Source organism: Homo sapiens, chromosome 6, assembly GCF_000001405.40.
Source record: "Homo sapiens chromosome 6, GRCh38.p14 Primary Assembly".
NCBI lineage: Eukaryota > Metazoa > Chordata > Mammalia > Primates > Hominidae > Homo > Homo sapiens.
Window position 1 is genome coordinate 43,488,595 of NC_000006.12, and position 16,134 is coordinate 43,504,728.

The following is a 16,134-nucleotide window of genomic DNA, read 5'->3' on the forward strand; positions in this document are numbered from 1 at the left end:
AGTGCAGTGAGAGTCCCTGATTTCTGAAACCTTGAATTAGCCATGTCACTTGCTGCTCTTTTAAAAGCACACCAGACCCAGTTGGTGTTTTTGTTTTCTTGTGGGTGAGGATTCTGAAGGTCACCTGTCAGTGGCTGTGCTCAGTCTAGAGCAGGGGTCAGGGCCTGTCGGAAGAGTTGTTGTCTTTTTTTTCTAGACAGTTGTCTCATCTTCATAGTCAGGCCTTGGCCTATTTGAGCTCTTGGGCTGTAGTCAGAGCAACATGGGGAGCCCAGTGTGTAGGCAATTATTGGAAGTGTTTCCTGTCTGCGTGAATCTTGATCCTAGGCTTGGGAAAAGGCCAGGCCCACCTCTGTGGCCAGGGTGGTGACTCTTCCCTTTTTGCCCTGAGTCATCAGAGAGCCTGCAGGGCTTCCTAGAACAGGAGAGAGGACCCCTCTCTTGTCTTTTCCCTGCCAACATCTTACCCTCTGCTAAGCATCAGTGGGTGTGGATATATGTGTTGCAGTCCTGTCCTCCCGCCCCAGGGGACACATCTTGTGGGGTCTCTGGAATGCCACTGCTTTTGCCTCATTTGCCTTGCAGTCTGTGAGCTAGAGGTGTCACTTCCCCCAGGGTGGTCTGGAGGCTTCATGGAAGAGTTGTTTCTGCCGTTGATGGGAGAGCTTCTTGCTCTGTTGCTCGTGTTGCTTGTTCTGAGAGGGGAGAATAGTCCCTGTTGCTCCTCTGGGGCTGGTTCCCTGGGAAGTGCCACCCCTGGCCAGGCGGCAGTGTGCAGCCCGTGCTGTTGACTGGCCCAGCTGTAGGCCAGGCACACACTGCCCCATTGTACTGTGCTTTCCGACGCAGCCCTTGTCATAGCCTCTAATCCTTGGGCTGCTTCTCTCCCAGCCCCTCAGAGCCTGTGGGAGGTGGTGGGATGGACTCTGCTGGCACTGGTGCGGGATGGGTTGCAGCTGCAGCTGTGGGTGGCTTTGTTCTTACAGCCTAGCTTTCAGAGTCCTGGTGCAGCCTGGCAGCAGTGTTTGGGGAACAGGCGAGATAGAGGAGCTGAGCCCCTTCTCCAACAGCCGTCCTCTCTTTCTGTTGACCAACCAGAGAGGCTTTTTGCCTGAGGTCAGCAAGCTGGCCTCCCTGGTTGGCAGGGGGAGTGCTTGGCTTCCATCTGGCATGGTTTCCGGATGGGAGAAAGCCCCTGAGGGTCTGGTGGTAAGTCTGCGATGCTTCCCATCAGGAGAGTGCAGTGTGCAGTGTGTCCCCTTGGGCATCCTGCAGCTTGCCATTCCTCTGCTTTCTCTCTGCAGCTCCGGAGTTGGGCTGCTCACAAACCAAGCTGTCTGTTTATATGGAGTGCCTGGAGGGCATCTGCCATGAGTCTGTCGCTAACTGCACTAACCAGGAGAGCTGGCTGGTTGGGGAGAAGACACTAACCCTGTGAGTCTGACCTCAGCCAGCTAACCTGCCCTGGGGTGCCACCAGCAGGGCCTCTGTCCTCCATCCTTCCCCGCAGCCTGGCTGCCTCCCTCCTTAGCTTATATCACGCCATCTCCTCTGCTCTCTTGTTCTTACTACTGCGTCCCTCTATTTTCCCAGTCTCCCTTTGCTGTGGGTGGGGATGTGCCCCCTTCACGGCCACCTGCCCATCACCAGCCTGCTGCTGGGCTCCACTGACCACCCCCCACCGTCACCCTTCCCCGAGTCAGCAGCGTGCTCTTCACTTCTCCCTTCATACAGAATTGGTTCGAGTTTCTGTTGAATCTGTGCTTTTAGCACAGAGTTTGAGAAGATCCCTCAATTACCATGCTGCTGCTGCTTCTCATGCCTCAGAGACAGATGAACTAGAGTGGGAAGGGACTTTTCTCCTAGATCAGATCATTTCCTCCCTTTATCAAGAAGGGAAGGTTGGATAGTGTCCCTGTTACTCTCACCCTAGGATAAGAAGTTAGGATCAGCTGCAAGGTTCTCTTTAGGATTGGGGAGGTAGAGGAAAACCTTGACCTGGTTCTGGGGAATTCCCTGGGCAGAAAAGTGAAGCTACTTAAACTGAATGCTGGGGCCCCAAACCAGGGACCCATGTGAGATGTCACTCCCATTGGTGACCGTTGCTCTGGGAGGTGAAGTTTGTCCCCCCCACCTCTTTTCACATCCGGAGTTTCTGGTGGACTTTAGCCATGAAAAGCTGGGAAGGGTGCCTCAGTAGAGTGGGGGCAGGACCTGGCTTCGGATTCCACACTGGGCTCAGAAAAAGTCCTGGCCTCAGACTGGGAGATGGGTGCGTGCAGCCTGGCTTGGAGAAGCTCCCACGCAGTCCCTTCTCCCTCCAGGCTTGGGAAGGAGAGGCGGGTCTGGAGATCATGAGAAAGTTGATTGCCTGTTGTTTCCTGGTGTTCCACACAGGTCACTCTAGATAGACTGTGGCTTCGGCTTCCGGAGGCAGTGTGGTGCTAGGGAGGCTGGACAGGGGGAGCTTGAGAACAGAAGGCTGCCTAAGTGGATTCTGTTCCCCTTGGGCTGGGTGAGAGAAGGCAGCAGCCTACCAGCACTGGGTGGGAGCTTGTAAATGGGAGAGGGTGTGTTATGGGCCCGGAGCGAGGAGGATAGCACTCCTGAGCGGGATGATGATTTCTCGGAGGTTGATAGATTAAGAGACCAAAGTTGGTGGGGGATATCCATGTTGACCAGAAATATCTGTTTGTTTTTTTGGGTTTTTTTTGAGACAGAGTTTCGCTCTTGTTGCCCAGGCTGGAGTGCAATGGCACGATCTCGGCTTTCTGCAACCTCCGCCTCCCAGGTTTAAGCGATTCTCTTACCTCAGCCTCCCGAGTAGCTGGGATTACAGGCATGCGCCACCACGCCCGGCTCATTTTGTATTTTTAGTAGAGACGGGGTTTCTCCATGTTAGTCAGGCTGGTCTCGAACTCCCGACCTCAGGTGATCTGCCCGCCTTGGCCTCCCAAAGTGTTGGGATTACAGGTATGAGCCACTGTGCCTGGCCCGATGAGAAATATCTTGATGAAAATGCACTACGTCCAATAAATGAATATATGTACTATGCAATATTAAGGATTTATAGTACTGATCAATATCCATGTGGAAATGAATTTTATTATATGATTAATAATAGTGAATGTATGATAGTTGATTAAGGAATAAACAATACCTATTTATATGCATGTGGATTGAGCTTATAATGTATTATATATGAGTGTACTATGTACAAATAAACATTTATAGTACTATATATTATTCATGGGGACTAGCAGTAATGCAGAGATGTTTAGGGACCCCAAATGGGGAGTTAACAAGCTGGAGGCTTTCTTGACTTGGCTCTGACCAGGAAAGCAAAAGGGCCTGGAGTTGAGGCCTGGTTGAGGGCCGGTCCTTCACTTTGGCCTTTCTTAGGAGAGGGCATGGGGTCTAATGTCAAATGCAGGCTATGACCTTGGGGATTTCTTGCCCTCTTTTTTTGCAGGGAGGGGTTGGTTTGCCTGGCTCTTTAGCCCCTTGTTCCTGTGAAGTGTTTGTCTGGATGTGAGGCCAGGTGGATAGACTTGGAAGTGTTTGCTCATGTGGGAGCCAGATGAGCTCTCACAGGTCACCAGCACTGTTCTGAGTCCTCAGGATTGCTTTGGGGCAGAATAATTCCCACTCTTTTTGGCTTTCAAAACCCTGTCAATCTGTTTGGTTTAGAGTAGGCAGGGGGCCAGGTCAGGGCTGCAGGCAACTTGTCCCAAGAGGGTGAGGTTGTACTTGCCCAGAGGGGTGGCGGGCATAGCTGTTGGAGGGGCAGCAGGGCTGGTCTGGGCACAGACTGACATCTTCTAGCCTTGTCTTCAGCCCAGAGCAGAACCTCTGCCCAGTCCCCACCCTATGAGCTGTTGGCTGCCTGCCTGCCACGCGCCCGGGATTGCTGAAGGCTTTACTCATGTATCTCAGGAACAGCTGCATGCCGGAAACTGGGGGCTGGTGGCAAGCAGGAGGGGTACCCCGGAGACGATGTGGGCGAGGCCGAACCCAGTTTTGGTGGGATCAGCCCACTGCTCTGGGGGACTGCTATTCATGGGGAGTCAGTGGGAGAGGGGCTGTATTAATGGTGCAAGGAGTGGGGATCTTCATGAGCAATCCCCAGGACCAAGGCCAGGTCACCTGGTTCCAGGGCTTACGCTTGCAGGGTGACCATTTGTGTTCCTTAGACATCAGTTGGGGGCAGAGACTGGATTTCAGAGGCTTGAGAAGCGGCCAGACTTGTGTGGCGGGAGTGTAGCTGACCCCCACTGGGGCACAGCTTCCCACAGGCTTGCAGACTTCAGAGACTCCACATCCAGCACTTACAGCTCAGGACAGTTCCTGAGGGGGAGGCCCCAGTCCCTGTGTGATCAGACATTTGTGTTTTAGTGGTTGATGAGGGGCTTTAGGAAGGGCTTGTATTTATTATTATTTATTTATACCCTGCTGGGTTCCAAGGGAATTAAGGTGGCATACAACACAGCTGGTGTATTCTGAAACGGCTGGGTGTTCCTTTCATTTTAAAAGCAGTAGCGATTACTAACTTCCGTTTGACTTTGCTTGGTTGAATTATGAAGAAGAGCTTGGATGATTTTCATGGTAATGTGTGGGCCCTTCCTGATTCAGAAGGTTGTGTTCATTGACTCCTTAAGGTCTCTCACTTGCTTGATTCATTGACAGCTGAGAGCAGAAAGGCTTCGTAGTAGGTTCAGAAATTATCTGAACCCAGATAAACTGATGGGGCCACAATTACCTGAAGTAGGTATTGGTGATGTGGAGAGTAGGGAGGTAGTTGCTCTCTAGGGCAAGCTAGCTGCTCCAGGATCAGGAGAGTTGTGGAGTGAGGTAGTAGTGCAGAACGTGGGGAGCTGGAGATGTTTGGTGGGGAAGGCTGAAGTTGGAAAAGCCAAAGAACCATATCCAGTCTGGATTCCTGTCTCCCTCTCCTGGGCTGGTGTTGAAGGGATGGCCTCAGCCTCAGCTGGGAGAAGGATGGATGCTTGAACCTCCTTTCCTCTTCTGCATCTCTGACTTTGCCTGAGCTTTAGGCAGAACCCCGGAAAGGATGGCAGAAGGGAAGTGGGACGGCATCTTTGGCTCTTGGGCTGGAAACTTTTTGCTGTTGCTCCTATGGGTGCTTGCTGGGAACGGTAAGATAGTATATTGGGGAGCAGCAGGATTCTGAAGAGATTTCTCTCTCATACCACTCTGTCTCTAGCAACAGCAATCTTCCACCACGGTGGAAGCCCCTGATCAAATATGCGTACCCACAAAAGGGAGCAGGTATAAGTCCCACCTCCTGGTTAAAGAGTGATGCTTGGCAAATTTTTTTCCTTTTATTAAAGGACACTGCTCAGCCAGCTTCTGGTACAGATCATGCCTTACACCTATTCTGTCTACACTCTGCTCAGCTGTTCAGAGGGTTCACAGTGCAGCTCTGCTGTGCGTGCCGAGTCCCATTTCTAATGAAAGTAGACTTTGTTCTCTGAAGGCAGCTAATCATGCCCCATGGGCTGTAATCAGGGAGAAGGTATTTAATACAGGGCAGGCGGCAACAGGCGGCCTGCACCGACTGGCAAATTGCAACATGGCAATTAGGAAGCTATCACCCCTCTCTCCACCCCAGCAGATATGAAGTAGAGTCTTTCCTTTGAACTGATTTTTGAGTAAGCAAAGAATGAATGCTATGCAGAGCATGGCAGAAGCTGGGGTTGGATGGGGTAGGATGCAGCAGGGGCAGGGAGGGTTGAGGAGAGTCCCTTTTCCTTCTCACTTCACCTTCATGGGATGGGGAAGGGTTGCTGCTACTCTGGGTGTCTCCCTCAACACTGCCTGCAGGTCCAGCCCAAGAAGCCCCAGGCCACGCTAGGTCAGCGAGAGGTTTTAACCTAGGCCTCAACCTTTCTCCCAGGGCATAGCTGTTCTTACAGAACAGACCCAGCACGTTATCTGGTAGTCCAACATCCTGAGTCATCTGCCCTCAGTTCCTCAAGGCTTAGGTTTAGTTTGGGGTGGGGGTGGGAGTGGGATTCTTCCTTGTTGATTTCCTTTTTTTTTTTTTTTTTTTTTGAGACGGAGTCTCTGTCTCCCAGGCTGGAGTGTAGTGGCGCGATCTGGACTCACTGCAATCTCCACCTCCTGGGTTCAATTTTTGTAGAGACAGGGTTTCACCATGTTGGCCAGGCAGCTCTCGAACTCCTGACCTCAAGTGATCCGCCTGCCTTGGCCTCCCACAGTGCTGGGATTACAGGCGTGAGCCACCATGTTGGGCCAGCTCTGTTGATTTCCTGATCTTCCTCCAGAAGACCATTTTCTGGGAGGTGCCCTGGAGCCAGCTCAGCATCCAGAGGCCAGGAGGCCCCAGAGGCTGTCCTTGGCTGCCGCTTGCTCATCATGGGCCATGGCCCATTCTGAGCTGTCCAGCTGCTCTCCTTAGGGACCTTTTCTTCCCCACATGGGATTGGGAGTCCTCCTTGGGCTGAAACACTCCAAGGCAACTTGGGAAACCTTTGGGTGAAGGAGATGTGGCCAGGGGAGGCTGCACCTGGTAGCTGGGTCTTCCTGGAGGGACCACTCTGATGCCATCTGCCTCACCCCTTTACCTTCTCCCAGCTTGCAGGCCAAGTGTCCCGATGCTTCTCTCTTTGTTATCCACTGCACCATGCATCACTGTCCTCCTTGGGTCTGTCCGGACTTTCCCTGCACACCTTCCTTGCCTCCAGTCAAGGACTGTGGGCTGCCAGGCCCGTTGTATTCCTGTTCATTGCTGGAACTGTGGGCCCCTAATGGGCTGGATCTGGGGCACTCAGCAGATTTCAGAAGTTGGAGCTAGGGCCTGGGTGTTGGGCACACCCTGTGTTTATGGACACAGGGCAGGAAGTGGTTGGTACACATCTCCCTCGCAGCCTGGTGTTGAGGAACACCATGGGCCCCCTGGTGGATTGTCTTCCCAGTGGGCATTGCCTTCTGCTTCCTTAGTTGGGAGTGGTTTCCCATACCTGTAACTCTGACATGCGTGGAAAGAATAGGCTCTGGCAGAGAGAATAACCTCCCATCACAACCACCCCCATCCCCAGAGAGTCTGTCTGCATTTACTGCCTGTCCCACTGCCAGCTACCTTCTCAGGATACTCCTTGCCTAGCAAGCCAGATCGCCTCTGGCCATGGAAGCCCTGGGGATAAATACATGCTGTAGGGCCAGGGAGTGGGGCTTGAGGTCAGGGTGAGGCAGGAGGAGCTAGAGGATGTGTGGCAACTAGAGCCAGGGCTGCAGGGTGTGGAGTGAAGCAGCCTTCCCTACAGGATTGCTGGACACCCAAGTGCGTTTGTGTCCTCCCTGCCTGCCTGCCGTTCATGCAGGTGTTTCGGTACCAAGAGGACAGCACAGGCCTTGCCAGGAATAGGGACAAGGGAGTACAGAGGAATAGAGGAGGGGCACACAAAGGGGCCTGCAGAGAGAAAGGGCTTCCTGAGATGACTGGGGAGCACATGGGGGAAGGGAGCTGGGACCTGGACCCTCTGTAGAGAAGGGGAAAGGCAGAGACCAACTCTCTGAGCTGCCCCTTTACTTTGTAGAAGCTCTTGACTGCTCGCATCTCTCACTCTTCCATCTCTGGCCATACCCTGTTTTCCAACTCACGCACCCCACACATTTACCCTCTGAGTATCAGAATCCACATACCCAGGTGGGTTTAGGACTTTCTAGGCCTCTCCCTCAGGCCATAGGAGCACCCACCCCGGGCTCCTCTGGAGGGGCAGCCCCAAGGAACCTGTTGGGGTAACTTGTTTGCTCCCCACACCCCGGGAATGTGCCGTCCTTTCAGGCCCGCCCACCCGGATTCCTGTGCAGGGAGTCAGCCGACACAGCATGTTGCATGTGCCCTGTGGGGACACGTTCTGCCTCCTGTCAGGGGGAGGAGGCTGGCGGCCGTGCCTGTGCTGCCGCACCTCAGCTCCCCACCGAACCCCAAACCAGGGCCCAGGCTGTCCAGACAGAGGAGGGAGACCACTCCTGCTTCCCCACCCTCCCTACCCTCTCACCATTCTCCCTGCCCCGGGCCCTGTTGGAATGTGACAGGAGTCATGGCCAGGGCATGTCCCGACAGTGGGAACACATGCTTTAGCCCGCAAGGCTTCCCTCAACCTCCAGCTCTGTTTAGGTTGATGGGGGCGGGAAGAGATTGTTTTTTCTGCCCAGAAGGCCACCTGAGGTTACTGCCTGATCACTGGTGGCTGCTGCCCCCGTGCTGCAACCCAGCTAATTACAGGTGGGGGCCAGGGAGGGGTGTGCACCCATCTCTGAACCTCAGGAGGCCGGAGGGGCTCTCACAGGTCACTCAGTCCAGCCACCTCTGTGTAGATAAGGAACTGAGCTATCCAGTGAGGAAGGGCATTACACAGGGCCCCACAGTGTCAGTGCTGAGCCTGGAGCCCAGGTGTCTCCAACTCCCCCGACTGGGGTTTTCTTCACGAGTGTTCCTCAGCCTTGGCACTCTGGATATTTTCTATTGGGAATCATTTGTGGTGGGAGTTGCCCTATGGTTGTGGGATGACCAAAGCATCCCCGGCTTCTACCCACTAGGTGCCAGTGGCACTCCTTCCCTCCAGGTTTCGACAACCAAAAATGTCTCCAGACACTTGCCAGACGTCCCTGGGGAAGGAGAGTGGGCGCCAGACGTCCCTGGGGAAGGAGGGTGGACAGAGTTGCCTGGTTGAGAGCTACTGCTCTGTGTTGCTCCCTTTTCAGATTTCTTCTCCTAGCCCTATGCCTCCTCATTGCAAAGGCCGGTGACCATCATTATACACCAAATAGCCTTGGGCCTCCTTCTGGAAATGCTAGGTGCTCTCTTTCCATCATTTTCTCTATCTTCTTGGATCTCTGTGAGGCTTTTTCCTGGTGTTCTCATTTGTAACCCATGTTCCCCAAATCTCTTAGTTGTTTCCAAACTCTGAGAGGCTTGGGAGATGAGGACCGATGTGGAGTAGGGACAGGACGGAACCGGACCTATTCCAGAATTGGGCAATGTGCTGAGACCATGAACACACAGACACATGTATCTCATCTGGGCCTGTGACAGTACTGTCATGGAGAAAGGCAGGAACCCAGTGCTTCCAGTCATCTGCCTCCAGCCGCTTTCCCCTCAGGCCCTCTGTTTCATGGCCTTCCTGCCGTGGTTCTCCCTGGGGGGCCTTCCAGGTCCCAGACTGGGCAGCAGGCCTGTAGCACTGACAGACAGGCGGCTGACACCTGGTTTCCACTTTCTTCCCTTCTCTGGTTTCAGGAGCTGTGGCTAAAGGAAGTGGAGGGGCCGTGGGATGCGGAGAGCCGAGGGCTAACTCCCGGACAGCGGAACAGAGAGAGCTGCCGACAAACAGACGGTATGTCCCTGATGAGGCCTGTGCCCTCAGCCTGGCTCTCTTCTGGGGAGGGGCAGGTGAGGGGGCAGCCAAGTGTTCTCTCTCGGCGGGGGCTGGTGAAAAGAGTGGTGGAGGCCACAGGGGTTTGGTCATCAGTGGCTGAGGCCAGAGAGCTCTCTTGGGCCTTGAGACTCCCACTGGGGATCCTGGATTGTATCCCCAAACTCACATTTTTGGTTATGATTTTTTTTAAACTAACATTTATTCAACATTTCCTAAGTGTTTTACATCATCTTCCCAACAACCCTATGAATTGGTGCTATTCTTAACTGGAATCAGTAGCTCACACCTATAATCCCAGCACTTTGGAAGGCCAAGACAGAGGGATTGCTTGAGCTTGAGAGTTTGAGCCTGGGCAACAAAGTGAGACGCTGTGTACAAAAAATAGCCAGGTGCAGTGGCACATGCTTGTGGTCCGAGCTACACAGAAGGCTGAGGCAGGAGGATTACTTGAGCCCAGGAGGTCGAGGCTGCAGTGAGCCAAGATTGCGCCACTACACTCCAGCCTGGGCAACAGAGCAAGACCCTGTCTCAAAAAAGAAAAGAAAAAAAGAAATTGATGCTGTTTTATCGCTAATTTAGAGTTGAGAAAACTAATGCATAGAGAGCAGTTTTACCTTCTGAGGCCTTCAGAGCCCACAAAGGAGAGTGGTAAGGAGGGTGGTGGGCTGCTTTGAAGCTCCCTGTCCCACTCTTAGAACCTAGGTGTTCAGGCCCTAGGCCCTGCCTTTCCCACCCATCTGTTCCCCGTTGGACCCATGCCCCACCCTCCAGCACTCCTTTGACCTATGGGGACTGACACACCTAAGTCCTGCCCCTCTAGTGACTCCAGTAATGGCCCAGGCCTGTCAGCCTATGTGGTGGCCTCAACATATGTCCCCTTTCACCATCTTTGTTTTTTCTCAGTCCAGAGTCCTTCTGGCCACATCTCTGAGCCTGCCTCCTTCTTGCTTCTCAGCAGGCGGAGGAGCCGTCACCTCCCAGAATGACTAGTGCCGCCCCTGCTAAGAAACCCTACCGTAAGGCACCACCAGAGCATCGGGAGCTGCGTTTGGAAATTCCTGGATCCCGGCTTGAGCAGGAGGTCAGCAAGACTGGTATCACAGCCTGACCGGCAGAGGCAAGGCCCCTGAGGCTGGGTGTCTGGCTGACTTCTCCTGCCTGAGCTTCTGGTCCTGAGTTGGGGTGAGAGTGGGCCTTGCTGTTGCAGGCCTGAGGTCTCCTAGCCGCAGTAGTGCAGGTGGGGGTAATGTAGGCTCAAGGGGGACTGTCTGTGAGTATATGTCCACATGTCAGGGAACCCCTGAGTCTTTGTAGCTTAGCAGAAATGATCCCATATGATATTCTCCCTGCAAGAGGCAGCCCAGTAGACTGAGGGGTCCTAATCTGCTAGTGGTTGGGACTCTGGTCCTCCGTAGTGGAGTAGAGCCATTCAACCTGTGGCCCCTTTGGGGCATATCAGGAGGCAGTGCTACAGCCACTTCCCACCAGCACAGCTGCTCTTCATTGTCCCCAGGAAGTCCAGCCCTTCCTCCAGCTTTGCTTTGTTTGGCTAACATTTGTTGAATATGTACTCCCTGCCAGGAACTGTTAGGTCCGGACTCTGCTCTTCGGGGCCTATAGTCAGCTGCAAAACATTGGCTCTCCTGCCCCATTAACTTCACTCACAGGCAGAAACGAGGGCCACAGTGGTTTACTGCCCTTGCAGCCATATCTCCATCTGGTCACAGTGCGTGGAGCACATTTAAAGAACCTGAGACGCAGCATGTGCTGAGCATCAGGCATACTGTAGCCTGCTTTGGTCAGATTCAAGGTAGAAAAGCCATGACTTGCTCATTTCAGTTCAGGGAACATTAAATTAAGATGCCAGCTATTATGCTAGGTGCTACCCAGCGAGCATTACCTCAGTTTTATAAATGAGGGAACTAAGGCTCGGTGAGGTGAAGGCTGTATAATCAGTATGCAGTAGAATAGGGTGAAATCCAGTTGTCAGAGTCAATGGACAAAGGAAGCCACCTACCTCCATTTTCTGCCAGAGGCTGCTCTTCTGAAGCAGTCAGTTCCACATAGAATAGGCCCCTTGATGTTTCCCTCTCGCGATAGCAGGGGCCTACTCTGCTTTGTGGTTGGCTGAACTTGACTCTTGAGCCATGACTGCCATAGGGGTTTGGGGAAGATGGGGCAGGAGGTTAAAAGACAGACAAGGCACTTCCTCCCCTTAGTCAGGATTAGTCCTCTTCTCCCATGCACTTGTTCTTCCTGAGCCTCTGCAAGAGCCTGATTCTGCCTTTGTCTTCATCTCAAGGCTGAGGGCTTTGTCAGAGCTCAGAACTCGTGTGTATAGTTCAGCCTGACTTTTCTGGAAGGTCTCTGCCATACCTCTGTGGATACAGGACCCACCAGGAGCCGAGTGAACAGCTGAGAGGCTGTCTGCCCCTGGGGAGAGGTAGCTTGGGTGCCAGGACTTATTTGAAAATGGCTTTAGGATTGGATTAAGGGTGAAGGTTGGAAGAGGTTCTTGAATCTTCTGGTTGGCATGGGAGAGGGTAGTCGAGGCTTGTCCCAGCATTACTGAATTGCTTCCATCCGTAGAGAGCCCTGCAGCCCTCTTCTGCTATAAGAGTCTTTGGGCTTCACACCTGAGCCTTCTTGTGGCTATTTGGAGGGTGAGCCAGCCGGGGGTCCAGTGGTCCAGAGCTGAGCCTCAAGCCTCTCTTTTTTGCCTAGGAACCCCTGACTGATGCAGAAAGGATGAAGTGAGTATCTGCTACCTGAGATACTGCCCTGCCTCAACTCTGTCCCTCTTAGCTCCAGGCTAGACTGTTGGTACAGTTGGACTTTCCCTTGGATTAGGTAGAAATAAAGGTTGGGATGGGTTGTTTTAGGGACTCTGGGAGGAGTGTTGATGTTGTGGATATTTTTTCTGGAAAATGGGATTTTATTGTTCCATGGGCTTCAAGAGAGCGTAGAATCAGGAGGCGAATGGCTCTGAGGGCCCTGCTCTTCTTGCTAAGGAGCCCTTCCCCAGCTCCTGGCTCCTGTACCAGCTGCCACCCTTACAGCCCTTTAGCCACATGAGGCCTCTGGAGAGGAGGGCAGTGCTGGGCTGGATTTCCAAGAGATGAATAATGGAGAAGCCTGATTGTGCAGTGGGGAAACTGGAGCTGGGGGCTTGGTGGCCAGCTGACATGGGCTGTAACCAGAGACAGGCTGGGAGCCATATCCCTACCCCCAATTCTTTATTTCTATTCTCCGATAGTGAAGGGAGGCTGGACTGTCCCCTACCATCCCCTCTTCCTCCCCTGACCCTCCAACCCAGGCTGTGTTCCCAGGGCCAGCAGGCCTATGAAATATGCTGCCTTAGACTCAGACTAAGACTCCAGGAGTTTCCCTGTCCTGTTTGCCTGTCCTCATGTCATCCCTTCCTTCCTGAGCCCACTCTGGAGCTCCAGGGCATGCCCTTCTATCTCTCATACCCCTCTGCCCTTGATCCCACAACACCCTGCCAGGCTCTTACAGGAGGAGAATGAAGAGCTTCGCCGGCGCCTGGCCTCCGCCACCAGACGCACTGAGGCCCTGGAACGTGAGCTGGAAATTGGGCAGGACTGCCTGGAGCTGGAGCTGGGCCAGAGCCGCGAGGAGCTGGACAAATTTAAGGATAAGTTCCGCAGGTGTGGGAATGAGGGGCCAGACACACACACACACACACACACACACACACACACACACACACACACACACACTCTCTCTGTCTCTCTCTCTCTCTGTGTCTCTGTCTCTCTCCTTTCATAGGAGGTTAGCTGGAAGATGCCTTAGAGATCATCTAATTCCTATTAAAAAACTGGATAAGTTCTGCAGGTGTGGGAATGCGGGGCCACACACACACACACACACACACACACACACACACACTCTCTCTCTCTCTCTCTCTCTCTCTCTCCTTTCATAGGAGGTTAGCTGGAAGATGCCTTAGAGATCATCTAATTCTTATTAGAAAACTGGATAAGTTCTGCAGGTGTGGGAATGCGGGGACACACACACACACACACACACACACACACTCTCTCTCTCTCTCTCTCTCTCTCTCTCTCTCTCCTTTCATAGGAGGTTAGCTGGAAGATGCCTTAGAGATCATCTAATTCCTATTAGAAAACTGAAGTTCTTGAGGGAGAATGACATGTTCAAGATCCCCTATCGGGGAGGCTGAACAGAGCCTGAAGAACAGGATCTTGACCCAGGGATGTGCCTTGTATTATCCCTTTTCAGGCTGCAGAACAGCTACACGGCTTCCCAGCGGACCAACCAGGAGTTGGAGGACAAGCTGCACACACTGGTAATCTGTCTGGGAGGGCAGCTTGGTGGGCACTGTGCTCATAGCATAGCAGGGGGCCAGGATTTGCCAGGGGAATGCCACTCTGCCCTGGGGCTTGAGGGAGATGGTGGGATGGGGCAGTGGTGGGGGTACTGCAGTGTGCTCTGCAAGTCAAGACTGTCTTAATGCTCACACTGTTTCTCTTCTTTCCTCGTCTCCCCCTCATGCTGCCACCGTTGCTGCTGCACTCTCCTCTCAGGCCTCTCTTAGCCACAGCTGGATTTTTGCAGTTGCGTCTGAGTTTGTGTGTCTTCTCCCTTGCCCTGGCCTTCTCCTCAGCTGAGATCTGGGATTGTGGGCCCTGGCTGTTACCCTGTGCCCCTTGAGTACACCCGCTCCTTTCTCTTCCCTGTATGAGGCCCGTTTAACTGTCAATGCCTCCCTCCCAGGAGAGAGGTGGGGAGCCTAGCCTGCTCTGCCCTTGGCTCTGGTAGAGGTACTGATTGATGTCTCCACTGAACACCCAAAGCTTCTTGGCTCCAGTGGCAGCAAGCCCAGGCTGTGGGAGTGGGGAGGGGAGGCTGCAGATCCAGTCCCTGAACTGGAGATCAGAAGGCTACTTTTGAGCCTGCAGCTTGCTCCCTGCTCAACAAGGTGCCCTGGCTGCCACCGCGCCCTGCTTCCTCTTCCCTCTCCTAGCCTGATGCTGGAAACAGCTGCACACATAGGAGGCTTCAGCCCCCTGGTTTGCAGTTACTGCCGTTGAGGTACCAGCTGCCTTGCCTGGTGCCCAGAGCCCCTGGAACCTCAGGGGATGGACAGCTCTTATACTGCCTGTGTCCTGGGCCCAGGTGGCAGGAAGTCATGCTAAGAAAGCCCCCACCCCACAGCCAGTCCAGAGAGCGGGAGAGATGCCCAGTCTCCTTCTGTCTGTCCGTCATTTGTCTCTGCTCTGTCCGCCTTGGCTGCCCTAGCACCTGTGGCCTCTTGTGTCTCCAGGATGGGAGGAGGTGGAGGGAGAGGAAGGGCTGGCTAGAGTGTGGGCTGGGTTAACCTCAAGTCTGTGCTTCAGATCAAGAAGGCTGAGATGGATAGGAAGACGCTGGACTGGGAGATTGTGGAGCTGACCAACAAGCTGCTGGATGCCAAGAACACCATCAACAAGCTGGAAGAGCTCAATGTATGTGCGCTTCACTACTCGGGCCTTCCTCACCTGGGGCTAGCTTTGTCCTGGCTCGGCCCTGCTTCCTTGGAGAGGGCTGGGCTGGGCTCTGAAACAGGTCTGTGTCTGTAGGAGCGGTACCGGCTGGACTGCAACCTGGCTGTACAGCTCCTCAAGTGCAACAAGTCCCACTTCCGAAACCACAAGTTTGCCGATGTGAGTAGAACTCACCCCCTCCCTGCCCACATAGACCATTCCGGCCACTGTAGGACTCCTCTAACTCCAGTTTCTGCACCTCTCTCTGTCCTCCTCTTCCCACTTTGCCCTCCTCTTGCCTCCATGTCACCTCTCAAGCCAGTCAACTCTGCCACTGGTTGGTGTCCCGTGTACTGTCCAGGGCCCATCACTAGTTCTGGGGGGCCAGCCCTGTTGGTTTCTGTAACAGAGACAGAGAGAGAAGATCCTGGGCAGGAAGGAGAGGGTAGTCAGAGCTATCTGCCCAAAGAGTACTAAGAGAGGATTAGGCCCATCTGATCATGTTACCCCAAGGGGTAAACTCTAGACCCCACAGCTTCAGGCCCAAGGTTTATGTGGCCTGCAGAAGTAGAAGAAGTAGAGGTATTTCTTTTTTTTTTTTTTTTTGAGACGGAGTCTTGCTCTGTCACCTAGGCTGGAGTGCAGTGGCACAATCTCGGCTCACTGCAACCTCCGCCTCCCGGCTTCAAGCAATTCTCCTGCTTCAGCCTCCCAAGTAGCTGGAATTATAGGCGCCCACCACCACGCCTGGCTAATTTTTTTGTCTTTTTAGTAGAGATGGGGTTTCATCGTGTTAGCCAGGATGGTCTCGATCTCCTGACCTCGTGATCCACCCGCCTCGGCCTCCCAAAGTGCTGGGATTACAGGCATGAGCCACTGTGCCCGGCCCAGAAGTAGAGGTATTTCTAAGGCTACTGGTCTATGCAGATTCTCCAAACTTAAGTATGGTTTGGGCAGAAGCTGGGAGATAGAAGTTTGAGAACATGCTGGCTGCAGCAGCAGATCCGGGTTTAAATCTTGGCCAAGTTAACCAAAGCTTTGAGTTGTCTTCCCCTCTCCAGGCCTATGTGTCTGTGAAGTGAGGGTATACACACTGGCATGCTGTAAGAACAGGAGATAGCAGAGTGCTGAGTACACAGAGGTACTTAAAGGTGGGAGCCATTACTTTCGCCATGAGTCAAGTTATCTTTGGCTGCGATCAT

At 53.5% G+C, this 16,134-nt stretch overlaps 1 protein-coding gene across 61 annotated transcripts in view, besides 3 other annotated features; it reads left to right on the forward strand.

Annotated features, from left to right (window-relative positions):
• Positions 1 to 16,134, forward strand: part of TJAP1 (tight junction associated protein 1) — a 28,985-nt gene that overhangs the window by 11,025 nt on the left and 1,826 nt on the right. For 6 of the 61 annotated variants that reach the window (XM_017011489.2, XM_047419531.1, NM_001350561.2 and 3 more), the window contains 8 exons: positions 9,287 to 9,383; positions 10,329 to 10,506; positions 12,150 to 12,178; positions 12,932 to 13,093; positions 13,689 to 13,755; positions 13,994 to 14,023; positions 14,807 to 14,914; positions 15,029 to 15,112. In XM_017011489.2, coding sequence (XP_016866978.1) covers positions 10,408 to 10,506; positions 12,150 to 12,178; positions 12,932 to 13,093; positions 13,689 to 13,755; positions 13,994 to 14,023; positions 14,807 to 14,914; positions 15,029 to 15,112 — 579 coding nt within the window. In that variant the 5' untranslated portion in view covers positions 9,287 to 9,383; positions 10,329 to 10,407. Of the gene's footprint in view, positions 1 to 1,163; positions 1,210 to 1,304; positions 1,435 to 9,286; positions 9,384 to 10,328; positions 10,543 to 12,149; positions 12,179 to 12,931; positions 13,094 to 13,688; positions 13,756 to 13,993; positions 14,024 to 14,806; positions 14,915 to 15,028; positions 15,113 to 15,993; positions 16,074 to 16,134 lie in introns of those variants that run through there. The other 55 variants (XM_047419532.1, XM_047419529.1, XM_006715250.5 and 52 more) reach the window with 25 other exon arrangements.
• Positions 1,049 to 1,642: an enhancer, noted in NCBI's record as "H3K4me1 hESC enhancer chr6:43457381-43457974 (GRCh37/hg19 assembly coordinates)". NCBI's record gives its function as "activates a minimal SCP1, AML or CMV promoter by ChIP-STARR-seq in naive H9 embryonic stem cells {active_cell/tissue: H9 hESC(naive)}" and the evidence as "EXISTENCE:reporter gene assay evidence [ECO:0000049][PMID:30033119]".
• Positions 1,643 to 2,237: an enhancer, noted in NCBI's record as "H3K27ac-H3K4me1 hESC enhancer chr6:43457975-43458569 (GRCh37/hg19 assembly coordinates)". NCBI's record gives its function as "activates a minimal SCP1, AML or CMV promoter by ChIP-STARR-seq in naive H9 embryonic stem cells {active_cell/tissue: H9 hESC(naive)}" and the evidence as "EXISTENCE:reporter gene assay evidence [ECO:0000049][PMID:30033119]".
• Positions 8,235 to 8,284: a silencer, noted in NCBI's record as "silent region_17232". NCBI's record gives its function as "represses an Ori minimal core promoter by ATAC-STARR-seq in GM12878 lymphoblastoid cells {active_cell/tissue: GM12878}" and the evidence as "EXISTENCE:reporter gene assay evidence [ECO:0000049][PMID:35858748]".